Source organism: Homo sapiens, chromosome 12, assembly GCF_000001405.40.
Source record: "Homo sapiens chromosome 12, GRCh38.p14 Primary Assembly".
In the NCBI taxonomy this organism is placed as follows: domain Eukaryota; kingdom Metazoa; phylum Chordata; class Mammalia; order Primates; family Hominidae; genus Homo; species Homo sapiens.
In genome coordinates this window covers 52,661,350-52,681,954 of record NC_000012.12, presented here as the reverse complement: position 1 = coordinate 52,681,954, position 20,605 = coordinate 52,661,350, and the positions used below count along the sequence as shown (strand labels likewise).

Sequence of the window (20,605 nt, the reverse complement as noted above, 5' to 3'; positions counted from 1 at the left end):
TGCCACTATTATCCACTGATATTGATCAAGTGCTGCTCTCCAGGAAGACCCCTGAGGTTTCCTGGTCCATTGCAATGCATGCTGGGTACTCTTGCACTTGGATGGAAGTAAAATCTCCTCACTAAACTCTGTGCCACCAAAATCTCCTTCTCAGTGTGAATTGAAGAAACATTTTCCAAGACTTGCATGTGCCAGGAGCCAAGGACTCAGAGTGATAAAACAGGCCTTCTGCCCTCAGAGCTCTCTGTGGTGGGGCGCTTCCTGTGCTGTCTGGCTTTACACACAGCAGGCAGAATGACTTGAATTCGGCTGCTGTGCTGTCGTACAACATGCTGTTTAGGATCTTGCACATGATAGCTAGGTATTCTTGCTTCAAATCGCAGGCACCCCACTTACCAACTGTGTAGACTTGATCACGTTATTCAACCCCTGTGTCTCTGCTTCCTCATTTTACAAATGGGGAGAAAAATAGCATCTATCTCAAAGTTGTGAAAATTAAGCAAGTTAATACATATGTGCTACGTAGAACAGTGCCTGGTACATGGTCAGTTTTTGATACATGTTAGGTATTATCATTATTATCACCTCCAGAAACAATTTAAACTTCTCATATAAGGCTCTCCAGACACCTCTCATTGTCTTCCCTTCCAAATCTGCATTTATCTCTCTCTCTTTGCAGTCCAGTGTGAGGCTTGAATCACCTATCAAGCCTCACCTCCACCCCTGTGCTTTACAAAATGTCCTAGAGCTTCTATTTACTCGTCTCACTGCTCTGTGGGCTTTTTCACTCAAGGGCGTTTGCATGCTATCCATTGCTACCTGTTTTCTATTGCTGGTGTCTGTCTCCTGCTCTATCTTTGAAGAAAAGAAACAAGAAAAGGAATAACTGAGAAACAGAGAAAAAAAATGTCTCTCCCTTCTGGTTCTTCCAGACCACCCACTCATCCATCTTGTTCAATGACAGCTTCTCTTCCTTTAATTAATCACTGTGGTATATTTATAAAGCTTATATTTATGAAAGACCTTTTAATTTTTTAGTTATTAAAGCCCTTTCTCTTTGTCAGGTTGTAACTGAGTGAGCTCTGGAGTTTGGAAAGAAGATCTTAGAAATGGGCCAGAGAGCTCCTTCTGAGATCCAAGCACGGGGAATTGCACCTGCTGTGCATGGTAAGAGAGTGTGCTTGGTAGCTCACAAAGGCAAGGTGAGAATAGAAACTTTCATGCCTTTTTGATGGGGGTTATGAAATCCTACCAAGAAACACCAGGTATCAGATGTGGGGTCCTGTTTTCCCAAAGCCACAAATGCTTGAAGGAAGATCTTGTGTGATAAAATAATTACCACATGAACCAATCTTGCATGCACAGCAATTTTGAGAGCCCATCCTGGGAGCTAGGTGTGTAGTGTTTATCGTATTGTTGAGGCTCGTAAAAATCTTGTATGGCTGCAGGCAAGCCAAACCCTTGACAGGCACTGCATCTCCGCTGACTCTAGAAGACCAAGCCCAATTTCTTCCCTGTATATAAGGGGAAGTCTCTATGCTTGGGGTAGAGGAGTGTTTAGCTCCTTCCCTTACTCTACCTTGCTCCTACTTTTCTCTAAGTCAACATGAGTCGACAGTTTAGTTCCAGGTCTGGGTACCGAAGTGGAGGGGGCTTCAGCTCTGGCTCTGCTGGGATCATCAACTACCAGCGCAGGACCACCAGCAGCTCCACACGCCGCAGTGGAGGAGGTGGTGGGAGATTTTCAAGCTGTGGTGGTGGTGGTGGTAGCTTTGGTGCTGGTGGTGGATTTGGAAGTCGGAGTCTTGTTAACCTTGGTGGCAGTAAAAGCATCTCCATAAGTGTGGCTAGAGGAGGTGGACGTGGTAGTGGCTTTGGTGGTGGTTATGGTGGTGGTGGCTTTGGTGGTGGTGGCTTTGGTGGTGGTGGCTTTGGTGGAGGTGGCATTGGGGGTGGTGGCTTTGGTGGTTTTGGCAGTGGTGGTGGTGGTTTTGGTGGAGGTGGCTTTGGGGGTGGTGGATATGGGGGTGGTTATGGTCCTGTCTGCCCTCCTGGTGGCATACAAGAAGTCACTATCAACCAGAGCCTTCTTCAGCCCCTCAATGTGGAGATTGACCCTGAGATCCAAAAGGTGAAGTCTCGAGAAAGGGAGCAAATCAAGTCACTCAACAACCAATTTGCCTCCTTCATTGACAAGGTGAGTTTCTCTCTCATTGCACTGGTAGGGCTGCCGCTGGTCCACTTGGGATTGGTGCAGTCAAAACACAGTAGGTTTGAACCTCAAGTTTCCATGTTTACATGATTAAAAGGATGTTTTGTGGAATGGTCTCCTAGGAGATATGTTAGATGTATGCTTGTGAATGGTGTTAATGACTCTCTCTTTGACAAAGGGTTCGTGGTCGACCTAAAGGTGGGTCAGTGTGACATTAACATTTAAGTGCTTTTTATTCAGCTCTTGAGCGGAATTGGGACTCATATCTGTTGAATGAAGATAATAGAAATGGGGCTAACTGAACTTTCCAGGGTGCAAGTGAGAACCCTGGAAAGGTCTTCCTAACCATAGAAAGGGAGTTGAGTGTGAACATAGTATAGAGTGTTATTGTAGCAGAAAACATGTGGTCAGTCAGTGCCAAACATCTTTTGCTGTCAGAGGGGAGCTCTGCCTTCTAATAATTTTACATTGGTACTGGATGAGGCTAGAGTTTTTTTATACTAATATCTCCAAAAATCAGCTCTAAAAAACTCAGATAAACCATTTTTTTAATTTTTTGCTTAATCATTAATAGTGCCAATCCAAGGTTATCCACAACAAATTTCAAATCCAATTTTGAATTTTCCTGATATACTTTTGAAATGTGTGTGTGTCCTGGGGATGCAAACCAGTTTTTATGGTAATATACCTAACAAAATTTTGGAAGGCAAATCTCTTAAATACCATGCACCTATTTCAAAACATAATTGCAATAATTCTGTATGCGCTTTGCTATTGGTATTTGTTTAGTTACTCCCTTCCAAGCCCTCTCTGAATTAACAAGTTGGGTTTTATTATGCAGATGATATTAACTTGATCATCTTCTTCCTATTTCTCTGTCATGGTCAGAAGATAGGAATTGAGGTTCTTTTCCAAATGAGGCACAGTTCTCCATGGCTATGAGACTCCATTTATGCATCAGGAGTAAAGGGGTCTTGTGTTTTTAGGTGAGGTTCCTGGAGCAGCAGAACCAGGTACTGCAAACAAAATGGGAGCTGCTGCAGCAGGTAGATACCTCCACTAGAACCCATAATTTAGAGCCCTACTTTGAGTCATTCATCAACAATCTCCGAAGGAGAGTGGACCAACTGAAGAGTGATCAATCTCGGTTGGATTCGGAACTGAAGAACATGCAGGACATGGTGGAGGATTACCGGAACAAGTAAGGGACCCTGTCTGGGCAGTTCTTAACTTTTGCTGTAAAAGAGTTCCAGAAAGTAATAAGCTAAGATCATGAAGCAGCATGTAGCTATGTCTTTTCTTAGGTTAGAGGCACATCAGTTTGACATTTTCAGAAATCTTCATTTTCTCAGGAGATGGAAATAGTCTAGTGGTTTTATTGCTCAGTAGAAAGTAGTGGCCAATATGTCCTAGGTTCATAATAGAAAGGCAGTGATAGGCAATGCCACCTTTAGTTTAGAATGCTGGACTTCAGGTCTTACCACCTCTGAATCTCCTAATTGTTTCTGCTTTCCTGCAGGTATGAGGATGAAATCAACAAGCGGACAAATGCAGAGAATGAATTTGTGACCATCAAGAAGGTAAGCAAATTCTGTAGGACGGAACTCACATTTGAAATAAATAAGGGAAGAGGGTCTCCAATTACTAAGCAGAAAGCAGCCATGATATGGAGAGCCAGGTAGTAGACCTGGGGAGTATATGGAGTGGGGCTATATTTTCACATCATCATGGACCTGGACTGATCCAGGCACTTGGCTTCTCCATATTTCCCAGCACCTTACATAGTAAGTGGAGTGGCAGATTCTCAGCAAGCCAGGCACACTCCCTTGATGGTGCTATCCGGGGGTGGGACAGTTAGGGAACTGTGATTTACCTGGGGCAAAAAGGAGTGGAGTAGACCCAAAGCTCCTTTTTTTGCTTGGAGAATCCCCTCACAGGTAATGAGAGGGACCTGCCCTGGAGAGAATGTGCCTTCATGATGTCCCTTGTTCCTCTAGGATGTGGATGGTGCTTATATGACCAAGGTGGACCTTCAGGCCAAACTTGACAACTTGCAGCAGGAAATTGATTTCCTTACAGCACTCTACCAAGCAGTAAGTCTTCCAGTTTCAACCAAGTTTATCTAAATGGAGAGTTTTTAAGCCTGAACCCACAACGATTCAGAAGAATAGATATTTATCTTTTATTTTCTGACTGCTTTCTCTGTCTAAGTTGTTTTTTGTTTTAGTGCTGTAAGAGTCACTAACCTATTATGTCTTGCAGGAGTTGTCTCAGATGCAGACTCAAATCAGTGAAACTAATGTCATCCTCTCTATGGACAACAACCGCAGTCTCGACCTGGACAGCATCATTGCTGAGGTCAAGGCCCAGTACGAGGATATAGCCCAGAAGAGCAAAGCTGAGGCCGAGTCCTTGTACCAGAGCAAGGTGAGTGGGCTGAAAGCCTAGCCAGTTTCCCTGAAATGGCTTGTCTTGCTATCCTGTGTTATCTCATGTATGTGTGCCTGTGCCATGCTGAGTTCTGCCTACATTTAACAAACGCTATCTACCATCTTTAGTATGAAGAGCTGCAGATCACTGCTGGCAGACATGGGGATAGTGTGAGAAATTCAAAGATAGAAATTTCTGAGCTGAATCGTGTGATCCAGAGACTTAGATCTGAAATCGACAATGTCAAGAAGCAGGTATGTGCTTTCTCCTTCTACCACTCAGCTGTATGGAATGGGGGTAACCCTCAGGTAAAGGGCGAGTGCTTTCCTAGTTTTGAATCTTGCAATTCATCCCAAGGCTACATTATTATCCCTGGTTCCTTTTGTGACTATGCTAGTTTCCAGAATGCAGCCATCATGCTGGGTTCTCTTTAGGGAAATCTGTGAGAATGGCCTAGTAGAGAAAGATGGGATGGTCAATGTGAGTGATCTAGCCTATGACCCAAAGTGGACTTAAGAGTTGGGGAGTGAGAGGAAGGGCAGCCAGGAGGTTTTAGAGTAGGTGTTTAGAAGAATGTCAAGTCTGTAAGGGTTGTAGGAGCCTTGACTCAGGGCCAAGAGAGGCTGTTGAGTTATCCCTAAGGTCTTTTAAGGAAGTCAACATGGTGATGTGTTATCTGGAGGTGGGTGTGAGATGACTTAAGGCCAAGTGGTTCTGTTGGACTCATTATTGGCCTCACTGGAGTGGGGAGACCAATTGGGATGAGGAGGCCTAGTGGGGAATGCATATTATGAGAGGGTGTCATATTCTTTTTCAGATCTCCAACTTGCAGCAGTCCATCAGTGATGCAGAGCAGCGTGGCGAGAATGCCCTCAAGGATGCCAAGAACAAGCTGAATGACCTGGAGGATGCCCTGCAGCAGGCCAAGGAAGACCTGGCCCGCCTGCTGCGCGACTACCAGGAGCTGATGAACACAAAGCTGGCCCTGGATCTGGAGATTGCCACCTACAGGACCCTCCTGGAGGGAGAAGAAAGCAGGTGAGGAAGGGACGCTGGGAGTCGAACCTCTTCTCATGGTCTTCCTTCCTTGCAAGCTGATTGTTGTTGAAGATGCAGCCATCTGATTGCAGCTTGTGCTGGGTATGGGGAAATGAAAAGTACACGGAGCAGGAGGAAGGACCTAGTTTTACTTTGGGAGCTGGAGTCCCAAGCTGTTTATTTTTTTCTTCTAGGGCTGTAACATATCTAGAAAGAGCTTTGAGGTGGAGCAAATTATTCTTTATCTGGGCTGCCTCAGATGGCAGCTGGCCTAAAGTCGGCATCTTTAGAGGGGGCCTTCATTGGCTGCAAGGCTCTTGTCTCGTTTATATGGGAATTTCTCCGTGTTTGTACTCTTGCTGAGAAAAAATGACAGGTCTGGGAGGCCAGAGGGGATTGGATTAAGTTTCAGATTAAGTGCATTGGAGAAGACCCAGATGGGGAAAGTCTTCAAGGTGGTGGAGCGGGGAATGGGGAAGCGGTTTGGGAAGCTGGAGTGTCCTGAGGAATTTTCTTATTTTCTCCTACAGGATGTCTGGAGAATGTGCCCCGAACGTGAGTGTGTGTAAGTACAAGTCGATTTCTCAGGGGCATGTGCAGGCTTTGTTGGGCTGGAAACGGAGTTGAGGTTGAAAATAACTGAGCTTCCTCTTGCAGCTGTGAGCACAAGCCACACCACCATCAGTGGAGGTGGCAGCCGAGGAGGTGGCGGCGGTGGCTACGGCTCTGGAGGTAGCAGCTATGGCTCCGGAGGTGGTAGCTATGGTTCTGGAGGTGGCGGCGGCGGCGGCCGTGGCAGCTATGGCTCCGGAGGTAGCAGCTACGGCTCCGGAGGTGGCAGCTATGGCTCTGGAGGTGGCGGCGGCGGCCATGGCAGCTACGGCTCCGGAAGCAGCAGTGGGGGCTACAGAGGTGGCTCTGGAGGCGGCGGCGGCGGCAGCTCTGGCGGCCGGGGCTCTGGCGGCGGGAGCTCTGGAGGCTCCATAGGAGGCCGGGGATCCAGCTCTGGGGGTGTCAAGTCCTCTGGTGGCAGTTCCAGCGTGAAGTTTGTTTCTACCACTTATTCCGGAGTAACCAGATAAAGAGATGCCCTCTGTTTCATTAGCTCTAGTTCTCCCCCAGCATCACTAACAAATATGCTTGGCAAGACCGAGGTCGATTTGTCCCAGCCTTACCGGAGAAAAGAGCTATGGTTAGTTACACTAGCTCATCCTATTCCCCCAGCTCTTTCTTTTCTGCTGTTTCCCAATGAAGTTTTCAGATCAGTGGCAATCTCAGTCCCCTGGCTATGACCCTGCTTTGTTCTTTCCCTGAGAAACAGTTCAGCAGTGACCACCACCCACATGACATTTCAAAGCACCTCCTTAAGCCAGCCAGAGTAGGACCAGTTAGACCCAGGGTGTGGACAGCTCCTTAGCATCTTATCTCTGTGCTGTTTTGGTTTTGTACATAAGGTGTAAGCAAGTTGTTTTTCTTTTGTGGAGAGGTCTTAAACTCCCCATTTCCTTGTTTTGCTGCAATAAACTGCATTTGAAATTCTCCATGTCTCGATCGCCCTTGTTTACGGCACTGTCTAACCTGGATGGGTGTTTTGTGAGGTAAAAGAAGACACTAGAGCCACATGGCATATGGGAAAGTCATGCACACAAACATGAGAAAAATGCAGAGGCCAACCAGGCAACATTTCACCAGACTGGAATCACAGAGAGAGCAAGCACTTTCCCAGATGGTGGGGATGTCATGGAGAAATGGAGAGACCGGGTGACAGGTTTTGTTCATTTGAGAAGGCTTTCTTGAAAAGGGCAGTGAGCAAGCAGGTTGGGAGGAAGAGGTGTGGCATTGAGAAGAAGGGAAAGTATTGCATGAAAAAGTAATTCTTCACGTGGAACAGCCAGTAAGGAGGGGCATGAGTAATATAGGGTCAGCAGTTACTGGAGCCAGAATACAGACTTTGGCCTGGGGAGTTCAAGAACTAAGAGTGGTAATAGAGAGTTGGATATTCCATTTCCCTTCTCTTTTTGTGCCACCACCCAAAGCTCTGCATAATCTAAGAAGTTCCCTTGTTGACACATAGCTCATACTTGTGAAGTTGTACAACAGGATAGCATAGTGGCCAGAAGCATGGACAGTTGAACTCAGATATGCTTGGGTTTGAATCTTACCATCACCATTTACTAGTTCTGTAATACAGTGCAAGTTACAGACATCTCTGCACCTCAGTTTTAGTATGTCTAAATTGGGGATGATAATGCCTTCCTTGTGGGAATAGTGTGAGGATTGAATAAGATGAATACACAGGGCTGAGCACACAGCAAGCACTAAATAAGTGCCAGTTTTAATGATAATGGTGATGATGATGATGATGATGATGATGACGTAACATTGCTTGTGGGACTCCATACAGCTCAGTAGATGCTTGCTCAAAGAAGCAAGTTACCAAAATTTTTGTAATGGTTCTCTGAACGTGAAAAAAGCAGTCAACTTCTCTGAGGATCAATTTCCTTAGTTTCCAATTAGGAAAAGTCTTCTTAGCTCCAGAGTCCCACAGGGCTAATGGAATAAGGAGAGGATAGATCACACATGTATTATGCAAACACAACTCAGGTGAGCTCTATTCTTCCTTCTCAGTTATCCCTTCTGTAGGGACCCCAGTGTCCCCTGCTGTCTTTCTGTGTCCTGACCGGGAAACACAGTGTGCCTTGTCTACTCCATCACTTGGCCAGCTGCATGCTTTCCTTTGCAGGCTTGAAGCAAAGCTGGGTCTCGGGCATTCTCAGGCACTGACAAAGCTGTTTAGTTGTTGCTGGGAAACACTGGGAAATAGCCCTTTTGTTAAACACACAGAAACTAGCCTTCGCCCTGAGCCAAATTCCTTAAACTCGTCTATGAAATTCCATAACCTGACTCCTTAACTGCAGACATACCCAGCTAGAACATCCCTCATGTCCCTGTCCACCGTGAGAATGCTGCACTTCACTCTGAACCTTTAGTCCTCCTTTTAAATACTGCACACTGATCACCCTGGTGTTTAGTGCTTTGTTTTTTGGAATCCCACCTGGCTCCATTTTGGGATGGTTCCGGGCACTTCCCTATGGAAATTCCCCTGCTGTCACTGTCAGAGTGAGTCCAGCAGTGGGTTTAGCTGGATGAAACACCACCATGTCCATTTCCATTCAGACTAATGTCAGAATTTGAAAGGCACTATGGTAGAGTAGAAAGAACAAGGAACTGTACTATTTAAAGGGCAGGCAAAGAAAAGGCATCTATAGCTTATAAGATGTGTGGATCTTTGGATGTGACTTGGCCATCCTGAGCCTAAGTTGTCTTGTAGGAGAAATGGGAATGAGAATATTTTCCTCTAGACATCAAGAGGAAAAGAAATATAACGTGAAAACCTTTGTGAATTGTGAATGTGTTATACAGAGTAGCTAAAAGAATTAAAAAGGGAGTGACAAAAAAGTAAAAGGCAGCTGGCTGCTCAGGGCCTCCATGGAGGGAAGTACCTTGATATGGTCACTGTGGCTCAGTGACAGCTCTGCAGGGACAGGAAATTGATTTGTTAGTGCACCCAAAGTTGAATCTGCTCCTGAGTACTGATTTATGGGAACCAAACACACAAGAGATGAAGGATGTGTCAACCAGAATGTCCAGCATTAGCTTGTGGGGAAACACATACTTCCAGTGACTGAAATACCATCCTGTTATCAAGAGATCTGGGAAACTAAAGTACTGACAAGAGCTGGCTTGATCTGTGGATTTAGAACAATGAGAGTTAGGTGGCCTTGAGGGAGATGATTCACTCTCCTTCACAGAAGAGCTGACCTCTGGGGTCAACAGATATAGCACCTCTTTCCCAGGGACGCTACTGAATGAACAGTGATGTGTTCTTATACTCTGGCCCAGATTTTCTACATACTTTCTTAGGTTACAACTTTATTTAGTCACATTTCAGTACTGGGGATACTCCTGTTTATCTTCTTTGGACTCGAGTTTTTATGGGAAGGTCATGAAACAGAGAAAAATACAATTTGCAGGGAAACTTACCAAGGCTTGTAAGGTTACAAGGATTAAATGAAAACCCTGTGTAAGTCAGTATATAGTGAAGAAGTAAATTGAGTTAGACCAAACGCCAAAATGCATCCACATTAGAAAGACGATAAAGGAAGACTCTGGATTCAGTTCTGTTCAAAAAACATTTTCTGCACAAATACTATGTATGAGGAACTGGGCGTTGGGGAGATGATGATGAGTGAGACATGGTTCTTGCTTTCAGAGAGCCTAGAGACCTGGGTGGTAGCAATGGTAGAGATACATCCAAGACACAGAAATAGATATACAGGAACACAGATGATTGAAAGTGATGCTTGGCAGGGCTTTAAAGAATGAATCAGAGTTTTTCAGGCAGACGAGGATCTTCAAGGCAGAGGGAATCATATAGATAAGGACATAGAAGAGTGAAATTTCATGAAGTAGTTAAGCATCTGAAGAAGCATGGAATTAGTGACAAGAAATGATGCGGAAAAGATATCCAGATCCAATCAAGAAGGGCCTTGTTGGCATTCTATGGAGTCTGGACTTTGGCTTCTGGGTCACAAGTTCTCAGATGGGGTTTTCATATCTATTATTAGACCTACTATGTACTGGTCCAGTGGAAGGGAAAGGGGTTGTCTTACTGCTAGTGGAGTAGGAATTGGGTATGGACCACAGCTTGTCTTGTTTCCAAGTATTCCCTAAGAAATCTGGTCTGCTGATGGGAGATCTATTTATGGAAATGTCTTTTTCCCTCAGGAATTTTATGTCAGAAACAGCTGTCATAGGTGAGGAGGAACTGGTAAAAGTACTTAATAGGAGAGTGTCATGGTCAGATTGGTGTTTTGGAAAAGTCAGCCAGGGCAGATTGGAGAGGTCCATATTGGAGGCAGGAAGACTTAAGAGACTATTGCAAAGGTGAAGACAAAAGACGATAGGGACTTGCACTTTAATTCCAGCCCTTAGAAGTAGTAGAAGGTCAGAAATGAGAATATGCATTACAGAGATAGTTAGTTGCTATATCATTAGGACTTGGTGATAGATTGGATGAGGATGCGGTTGGGTGAGGCAAAGAGGAGAGTCCACATTCCTGGTCTGGGTAGTAACAAAGAATCTAGCAAGAGGGCTTGTGGGGAAAGATGCTGAGTTACGTAGCAAGTGCATCTGCTTTATCCTTGTAATGAATGGGGCTAAAGGTGTAAACCAAAGAGTCATCAGCATTTGGAGGGTAGAATAAATCATCAGATAACTCAGGAAGAAGGAGCAGAAGAATTACTGATACTCCCTGGAAGGAAAACCGGAAGTAAATGGGAGAAACTTGCTCAAGTGGACAAAGTTTAACAGACATGAAGCTGGTCAGAATTCCTCAGAGGCCATCCACCAAAGCTACTGAGATCCCCAGATCTACTGGTGACCTCCCCGAACCTTAGATTGTACTCTTCCATCCCTAGGTGGTCTAGTGTGTGTTTGATGCTTGGTGCTTATCCTGGTAACAATACTCAGCAGGAGGGCAATCTACAAGGGCGAACGTGGGGTTAAAGTTCTCCTGTCCCCTGCCATGAGTTCCCTTTCTCTGTGGCAACCACTCCCCTCAGTTTCTTGGGTGTCCTTCAAAAGGTATGTATGAACATTCAGGCAAAAATATACATATATGTTAATTCTCTTTTCCAGATGTCTTGCTACTCTGGCCTTCCCACTGCAGTCGACTTGATCATCTTCACCCAGATGGGATTTGAATTGCATATTCTTCAGCAGATAGGCCTTTTGGAATCTGACTGTGGCTTCTGTCCATACATTACAACCTGTGACCCAATTCCTGGATTTTTCTTTTTTTTTTTTTTGGAGACAAAGTCTCGCTCTCGTCACCCAGGCTGGAGTGCAATGGCGCGATCTCAGCTCACTGCAACCTCCGCCTCCTGGGTTCAAGTGATTCTCCTGCCTGAGCCTTCCAAGTAGCTGGGACTACAGGCACCCGCCACAATGCCTGGCTAATTTTTGTATTTTTAGTAGAGGCAGGGTTTCACCATGTTGGCTAGGCTAGTCATGAACTCCTGACCTCAGGTGATCCACCCACCTCAGCCTTTCAAAGTGCTAGGATTACAGGGGTGAGCCACCACACCCTACCAATTCCCGCATTTTGTCCTTACTTTAAGATACCTGCAGGCACCTCTTCTCCCTGGGTCTAGATCCATGTGCCTCCCCCATAGCAGCACAGTTAGAAGGACAGAATGTCACCTTCAGCAGGTTGGTCAATGGGGCTCCCTCTGCACCATGCTTCTTTGTTGAATGGCCACAACATTGCAGCCATCAATTCAGTGGCCAGCCAGTCTTCCTTCCACAACTGATCAATTTTTTTTTTCTTTTTTCAATAACTGTGTGGCTCTTACACAGCCACATCTCTAACACAGCTTGGGGATTCATCTAATTCTAGAGAAGAACAGACTTCCCACCTTTTCCCATTCCCACACACTAACTGCCTTCTCTCCAACAACTCCAGGCCTAAGACAACCACTGAAGGTCTGTGGAGAACAGCTGAATCCAGCAATTCTCCCTGGACCCCTTGCCTCTCAGATCCTAATCCTAGCTCAGCTCAACTCTGCTATCCCAACTCCTCCCCATGGGTAGTCTTCACTGGCCTCAGGGGCTGTTCTGTTCTCTAGCACTTTGGGAGAGAGAATTCCAAATGATGGTCTTGAGCTGGAGCCTGTAGCATTCTTGGAATTTTAGGAAGTCCAGGAAAGACTTCATTGGAATGGGGACCTTCTGTTTGTCCCTTGGAGGGACCATGAGGAAGTCTCACACAACTGCCCAGTTCTATCAAAAACTGGTGTGAAAATTTTAACAGGGACTTTATGGATATTGATAAAACTTTCTTTTGAAAAGAATATTCTTTATTTAAATTGCAGTTCTAAAGGTATCAGTCTCATGTCTCTTGTCTTATAGCAAAAATTAAAGTAACACCCTTTACTGTTAGGAAGAGAAAGAAAGGCATAGTTATATTGTGATAACACAGAATTTTAAAAAATCCCCACTGTAGTATAAAGGAGACAGAAAAGGAAAAAAAAGGTATAATATCATACTATATTTCAACCTGTAAGATCTTAGGTGGAACTGCAATGGAAGACATAATGAAGCAGTCAGATATTTGTGCCTATAGGTAAAATCACCATGCATTAAACCAGTTACAAATGCAAGTGGATGTAGGACGTCTATGGGCAACTTTAAAACTCTGGTAGTTTTGCTAATGATGACACAATTTCCCAAAAAGGTAAAAAACAAAACAAAACAAAAAAACAAAAAACAAACAAAAACTCTTATAAGCTTCTGATGAAAAGAAATATGATCTTCTCTCTATTTATACAGTAGTTGTATTTTTCAACCACTCAGTGTATCTGAAAACTGTGCTGAAACTCTGCATCTCTATGTGATACACAGTTGGGTTCTGGGTTCAACCATTATACGTTATGGCGCACTCGAAAGCTGGGCAGGAGGCCTAGCATAATTTGGATTCTGGTAATTACATGCCAGTAACAGCTCCCCATGTCACAGTGACAAGCAAAAAAAATGCATCCACAGATTTCTAAAAGATCTCTAGACAATATTGCTGCTTTAGGACATTTTTGTGGCTGGGGACATTTTTAGAGCATCCAGGGAGAATAGGCACCTATTTTCAACTGTACTTGTTTGTATATGTGTTTGTGTGTGTGTGTGCGTGTGTGTGTGTGTTGTGGGGAAGCGTTGTGGAAAGCATATATTTCCACCTGAGAGTAGATTATATGGACCCCTGAATTGTGTAACTAATTCTCCATTAATTTCAGTTTTATTTGCCATTAAAGTAACTTATTCTCTCTCTCCTTTTTTTTTTTTTTAAAGAGAGGAGGTCATCAATAACAGAACCCAGGGACCATTATGCCTAAAGATTAGACAATGAAAGGGCAATCAGTTGAGTCCAAAGGAGCCATCATTGAGGATGAGAGAAGTGAGGGAGCATGTTGTCTTGGAAACCAAGAGGCCAGCCCATTTCCATCAGCAGCTAGGAGGAGAAGTCAATGTGAGTCGTGGAGGAGCTGCAAGTTGAGACGAGTCTAGAAATAGGGTCCAGATTTGGGTAGGTGGCGGGGAGGAAGTGGCACTATAGGCCCCTTCCCTGGTGAAGGGGGCATGGATAATAGTCTGACTACAGTTAGAGGCCAGAAACGTGGTCTCTAAAGTTGCCTCTTGGAGCCGCAGTGGGCTGGAGCCTTGTGCTGGGTGAAAGGGAGAGTGAAGATGCCCACGAGATGTCTGGGCGGTGCCAGCAAATTTATTTGTTTGTTGAAAGGTTGGATCCTCAGAATGCCCTGGGATGCTCTGTGTCACCGTGTTTGCCACTCCCATATCTGCTGGAGGGAACCTGACACTCCCTGCCAATCCATTATCAGAAATATGGCGCAGTCTTAGTCAACTTGCGACCTTCCCAAGTTCATGCGGGTTTATCCCCACCCCTCCCAGGGGCCCACGCCCGATTTCCAATCTGTCAATAGGCCCTGCGTATTCTCTCTAGGCAGTATGGAGTGTCCTCTGCTGGTACAAAGGCTTCTCTACATGCAATGATGGTACCTGTGATGGTCACCACAACGCAGCGGCTCCCAGGGAGGGTGAGGATGAAGATTACATCCTTTGGATATTTCAGAAAGCTTACTGGGAAAAATAGAAACAAAAAGACTTCTCTTGATTCTGTTCACAAGTTGCAAAGACATAAGGAAGCAGCTAAATCCTTCCTGATACAGAGAATCTTTGATCGTGGGAGAAAGCTCTTTTCTCTGGGTGTTGAGCTCAGTCCTGAGCATCTTGGAAGTTAAAGTGACCCATTGAAAAGCTAATGTGAGCACAGAGGCAAAAACTAGAGCAGAGAAAGGACTGGAAAAAAGATCAAGGAAGACGGCTGAGGGTGGGGTGTGATGATTTCTTTCTTTCTTTCCTTCCTTCCTTCCTTCTTTCTTTCCTTCCTTCCTTCCTTCTTTCTTTCCTTCCTTCCTTCCTCCCCCCTTCCCTTCCCTTCCCTTCCCTTCCCTTCCCTTCCCTCCCCTCCCCTCCCCTTCCCTCTCCTCCCCTTCCCTCCTTTTTCTTTCTTTCTTTCTTTCTTTCTTTCTTTCTTTCTTTCTTTCTTTCTTTCTTTCTTTCTTCCTTTCCTCTTTTTTTTTTTTTTTGAGACAGGGTGCTGTTCTGTTGCTCAGGCTGGAGTGTGGTGGCACAATCTCAGCTCACTGCAGCCTCAACCTCCCTGGGTGCAGGCGATCCTCCCACCTCAGCATTCCAAGTAGCTGAGACTACAGGCACACGCCACCACACCTAGCCAATTTTTGTTCTTTTTTAGAGATGGGGTTTTCCATGTTTTTTAGAGATGGGCTTATCATGAACTTCTGAGCTCAAGTGATCTACCAGCCTTGGCCTCCCAAAGTGCTAGGATTACAGGCGTGAACTACTGTACCTGGCCAATGGTCACTTTCAATGAAGATAAACCACACCATAGTTTGTAGGGAAGAGAGTCAGCCTCTTCTTGCTTGGAAGTTACAGGAGTCACTCTAAAGAAGAACTTTCACCCCGGCCCAGTTGCCCCACAGTGCAGGAGCTGTCTTGTGAGAGGAGTTAAGCTGACTTGGAGAAACAAGTAGAAGGGTCTTTCCCAAGGCAAGGGCACTTGAGCAGAGAGTCCAGCCCTGGTTCGGAAATTGGACCACTTCCAACCTGGAGATCCCAAGGCTGCCTTCTTTCCCCATTCTCCTTACAAGTCCTCCAGATTCTTCTTTCTCTTTTTTTTTTCCTTCCCAAGATTCCCAGACTCAACTCCCAGAATATTTTGAGCAGTTATTTTAAAAAGCATAAAGGTTTGGTTCTGGTTTGAGCTGATCTTATAGGTGTTTTGGTGAACATTTATGTTTGTTCAGTTAAAAAATATTGGAGTTCAGTTCTTGAGCAGGGGTTGTTTATGGTGGATTTGGTTCAATCCTGGTCAATTTCCTGTTGTGTACACCCTGTGGGGGTGTTGACAGGCGGGGGTCTGTCATGAAGGAGAGGCCAGCCTGAGGCTGCACATGCAGCCCACCTGCCTCAGCCTCCCGAGTAGCTGGGACTACAGGCATGTGCCATCATGCCCGGTTGCCATGCAGTTCCTTATAGCTTTAGAAATTTTCCAGCTTTGAAGGAGCTATGTCTTCAGCCACCTCATAAGGATGTTTAAAGGGGAGGGGTGGGAAATAGTCCAAATGAAATTACTAGGATGTATTTTTTATCCTTACTGAAAAATTGCACAAACAGCATAGTAACCATATGAAAGAAAATTAAAATGAACAGAAAATTCACCTCAACTAAGAACTATTAAGTTTCCCTTTCCATTCTAGACCCTCTTCCTACGTAAAGATGAATGAATGCAGCTGTAACCAGAAAGTAAGTATAATTATTAGCATGTATTTTAATATTGATCATTAACATTTTCTTCAAGGTCCAGCTAAATGCCAGAACTTCTGTGACTCCTTCTCTCTCCCGTGGGGAAAAAAACATTCTTTTGTGTTCCCATCCCATTTTGCCTGCCTGTGTCCTGGCATTAATAACATAATATAGGTAGCTGCAAGTATGTCTGTTCCAATGATTTGTGTTGTCCTAAATGGGTGAGTGGGTGGGGGGCATGCCTTATTTATTTCTGATTATTTCCGACAAAATGGGTTAAGAATCCCGCAACAAAACAACACATGGGGTCCTTCATTTTGGGCCCCTTGGGTGAGGAATGTTGTCCTAGAAAAGCACATTCAAAGGTCTGAAATGTGCATTTATTGGCTCTACTGGGTGTCTTTTCACCTGCCTAGACCATATTTCCTTCGGTAAAGGGGTTATAATGGAGCTGTCTCTGGCAGGCTGAGTTCAACTGGCCATCAGGAGTAGCTATGTCTGACCAATCCTGGGCCAGGGAGGGCCCTTGGTGACCATACCTACCTAGCGAGACAAGTAACTAGCAAGGTGAGCGGATAGGGACTGGGAGGATTTAGGGCCCAATCTCTTAGGAAAGACCTCAGGGGGTAGCAGTTCTCCTAAGTGGGGTCCCTGGGTGGGGTGGGAATATAGTCTATCACATGCTTCACCAGTGGAGAATTTCTGATGGGGCGAAAGTGGATGTCACAACAGTAGGTCCTAGGAGAACTGGACAGGGAAAGCTAAGTCAGGATGGCCTCGCCTCTGAGGTCTTTCTAGGGATGCCCTGGGATTCTTGACTTCAGCAAGTGCCTTACTTTTTACTAGGGAGATGAGCAAAGGGCCGTCGAAATTCAGCCACAGCCATAGACAGGTGCTGCCAGCTATGCCCTTGGGACGAGTGGCCTTTGGGATAGAAGACTGGGTGTCATCTCTTTAAGACCTGTCCTTAAGGTCACCAAATATAGAACAGGATGATTAAACATGCATGAGGACATCTGACCTTAGTTTAAAACCTTGTTTGGTATGATTTCTCCTCAAGACAGCTGTCCTTTGCCCAGACACCTACAGACATAGAGAAGATTCTCCTGAGGTTGCATGGGACAGAGGCCGGGCCCTGTTGGGGTGAGCTGGATGGAGGCAGGCTGGAGGCAGGTGGCAGGGCCATCAGAGTCCCGGCTGAGAACGTGCACAGGACACCTGTCATGGGCATCTGTTAGAGGTTGAGTGTCAACCAGTTTCTCATCTGGGTCAGGCTTAGGGGAGAGGGTACTGTCATTCTCCAAATACACCAAACTTTTACACATGTTTATGCTGTTAGGTCTTTGCAAATGTCTCTCCATTTTCCTGGAGTTCCTTTCTCCCTTTTCTGTGTGTAGACTCGAATTCATCCTTTAAAAGCCAGTTCATAGTTCCTCCTTCCTTGACTCCTGCCTCACTTTTCCATTTATGTTTCCTTGCTTCTGGCATATGATGTCCAGCGGTGTCCTGGAACCCTCCCGCACCAGCTTATGAAAGCCAATTGCCTGCTTTTGTTCCTAACTCCATGTTCAGTAACACCGTGTTGATTGCTTGAGATCAACCATGGTAGGTATATTTACTCCACAGAAATGAGTGCCTATGGAATAATGAATTTCTTGAGGACAAGGACTGTGTCTTCTTTACCTTTTCATCCTGAGGATGCAGCAGAATGTGTATTCTACTGCAGTGATTAGTGAGTTTTTGTTGGTCAATGAACTGGACAGAGTAAGCACTGGAGGAATACAGGAAGGAGGGGGCCACATCACACCAGGGTCATCAGTCAAGGGGAGAGAACATCTGAGTTGAGTTGGGTCTTGGAGGGTGGGTTGATGGTAATTTGGGTGAAGTAGGTGGGATCCCTGGGGATGTTACCAGTTCCAATGCAAGGGAACTCTTGTTTGGGAAGAAGATCCCGTGAGGCAAGCTCCATCTTGGCTTGTAGTCACCTGTCTGCATGCAGAGGTGTGCATGAGACAAGGTCTGAGGTGAGGCCATCTTGCCCCTTCCCTAGCTCTAGGTCCTTAATTAACCTCAATTATATGGACAGTGGGAAAGTGTGTGGCAAGGCAGGTTCTTAGCTTAGCTTTCCAGACCCAACAACCCAGACATTCCTACCCTCCACATTCCTACTCTGTATGCAATGGAGTAGTTGGTTAGTCCCTCTTGTTATCAGTCTTAAGTTTCTGCTAATGCCAGCACAGTTGATTTCCTTCTGTTCTACACCTGGTGGAGCTGGAAGAGCATTTTAGGCAAATGGAGAACATGATATCTGCCTCCATGTCCCTGAAGGAAGAACAAGCTGATCCTGTAGTTGTAACCATTCATTATTAGCATTCACAGATGAACATTTGGTTGTCTTCATTCACACTGTGCTAACTACTAAGGTGTGCTTGGGATCGGAGAAACCCCGCTGGGTTCCAAAGGGAGTGCCCTGTTTTTGGCTGCCTTCTTCTCAGTAATCCTCTCTCTTGGCTTGGTAATGGATAAACAAGGTTTCCATGATGAAGACATAAGGCTTTGAGGAAAGGTGGTGTGGCAGGAGCCTCATGCCACCTCATTGGCACTTCTGACCTGCCATGTGGCACCATGGAGGGGTGCACAGCTGGCAGGACCTGGGCAAATGCAGTCTGTCCTATAGCAGGACAGTCATCAAGCTGTGGTTACTAGGAGTCTGATAAAACAAGGATTGGACCATCTTGCCCCTGTAACCACCCTATTAGCTCCTTTCCTGGCCATCTGCAGGGATGTGAATAGGAGGAGCAGTTGGTCTGATGCCTTAACAGCCCTGGGGGAAGTGTGGCAATGACAGATTTAGAAGTTGTAAAGGACACAACTCCTATTTGCTTCCTATTTTCCATTATTATGGGTAATTGAGCGTTGACTGCAGTATTTATTAAGCCCCTGACTTTGGTCTACCTGAGGCCTTTTCTGGCTCTGAAATTCAGTGCTGTCAGGCTGGTGTGGCGAGGTGGAGGAGCTGCGGGGCTGGGCTCCTGCTCTGTTACCCTTTATTCATGAGGCCTTGACAAGCTCTGAACTCAGTGTCTTCATCTTAGAAATGAAGATGTCAGCCACAATGGTTTCTACCATGTCTTTGAGCTGTTAGCACAGATACCAGAGTAGGGTGGAGAACCTGTAGGAGGGCAGAGCACTCTCACTCAATCTTTGCATTGGGAACAGGGAATTAGGTGAATGAGGGTGGGGAGGGCAGAAGTGGGGCTCCCAGAAGGATGTGGTTTCTGAGTACGTTGGGCCAAGCCTTATCACCACTCGTCTTGTGATCTCAGGCAGGTCTCTTCACTCTCTCAGAGGCTCAGTTTGGTCATGTGTGAAATGAGATAACATTTGCCCTAATTACTTCAGAGGGAGAGTGTCAAAGTGAAATGACACATGCAACAGGGACCTGAAGTAATACATGAAGGGAGCGATCATCAGCACTGCTGCTCTTCCTTGAGAAGGCACCCAAGGGTGGGAGTGGGATGGGGCCAACGAGCAGCGGTGCAGCCTGGGTACGCAGGAAGGACTGCTTCCTTGGGGGCCAAAGTGGGGTCCTATGCTTCATTCTTTTAAAAGAAATACCCATTCATGAAGGGAGGGCTTATATCCTAAATCCATGGCCACTGGCCTTGTAATGAATGGCCACTTAGTGCCTGAGCAGGGAGCAGCGGACCACCAGTTGGGAGCAGGACCGGAGACAGCGGGGGAGCTCCAGGGCATAGGGTTAGGGTGGGCTTGTAAGCTAAGGAAAGAGGTGCATGATCAGGTGGCAAGATGCAGGCTAGGAGATTGTGGCAATAACATAAAATCGACGTAATGTTGGAAGTTCTAGACACTTACTATAACTTCTACAGATAATGCGAAAGGAGAAATATTTGCTTTGTGCTAGAAATTGTGCTGTGTCACATAAATCACTTATTTCACAGCAACTCTGAAGTACTACTGTTGACCTGTGAACAACCCAGATTTGAACTGCACCACTCCACTTATATGTGAATTCTTTTTCAGTAAATATGTTGGAAAAATTTTTGGAGATTTGTGACAATTTGAAAAAACTTGAAGATGAACTTGTATCCTAGAAACATAAAAAAATTAAAAAAAAGTTAGGCATGTCATAAATGCATAAAATATATGTAGATACTAGTCTATTTTATCACTTACTCCCATAAAATATACACAAATCTGTTATGAAAAGTTAAAATTTATCAAAATGTGTGCACACACGGACTCTACATAGTGCCAAAGTCAAGAGAAATGTAAGCAACTGTAAAGGTGCATTATTAAATCATAACTGCTTAAAATTAACTGTGATACATATGTGCTACTGTAATCATTTTGTAGCCACCTCCTGTTGCTACTTCAGTGATCTCAGGTATTGCCATTAAAACACTGTGTGATGCTAGTCATCTCCACAAGAGCAATTAGCTCCCCCAG

General features: G+C 45.3%; 1 protein-coding gene across 1 annotated transcript, besides 1 other annotated feature; it reads left to right on the top strand.

Moving 5' to 3' along the window:
- Nucleotides 1,548-7,219, top strand: KRT1 (keratin 1). The gene is made up of 9 exons (NM_006121.4): nt 1,548-2,197; nt 3,199-3,413; nt 3,732-3,792; nt 4,210-4,305; nt 4,475-4,639; nt 4,771-4,896; nt 5,460-5,680; nt 6,211-6,245; nt 6,338-7,219. The coding sequence occupies exons 1-9, from the start codon at nt 1,607-1,609 to the stop codon at nt 6,760-6,762; spliced, it is 1,935 nt and encodes a 644-aa protein (NP_006112.3). The 5' UTR covers nt 1,548-1,606; the 3' UTR covers nt 6,763-7,219.
- Nucleotides 6,555-7,055: an enhancer, noted in NCBI's record as "H3K4me1 hESC enhancer chr12:53068684-53069184 (GRCh37/hg19 assembly coordinates)". NCBI's record gives its function as "activates a minimal SCP1, AML or CMV promoter by ChIP-STARR-seq in naive H9 embryonic stem cells {active_cell/tissue: H9 hESC(naive)}" and the evidence as "EXISTENCE:reporter gene assay evidence [ECO:0000049][PMID:30033119]".

Bases quoted from the DNA above. Each gene is read 5' to 3' on its own strand.
- KRT1 (NM_006121.4), top strand. From the start codon at position 1,607: ATGAGTCGACAGTTTAGTTCCAGGTCTGGGTACCGAAGTGGAGGGGGC. The intron at 2,198-3,198 runs GTGAGTTTCTCT...TTGTGTTTTTAG, and splicing joins TTGCCTCCTTCATTGACAAG to GTGAGGTTCCTGGAGCAGCA. The intron at 4,640-4,770 runs GTGAGTGGGCTG...TACCATCTTTAG, and splicing joins AGTCCTTGTACCAGAGCAAG to TATGAAGAGCTGCAGATCAC.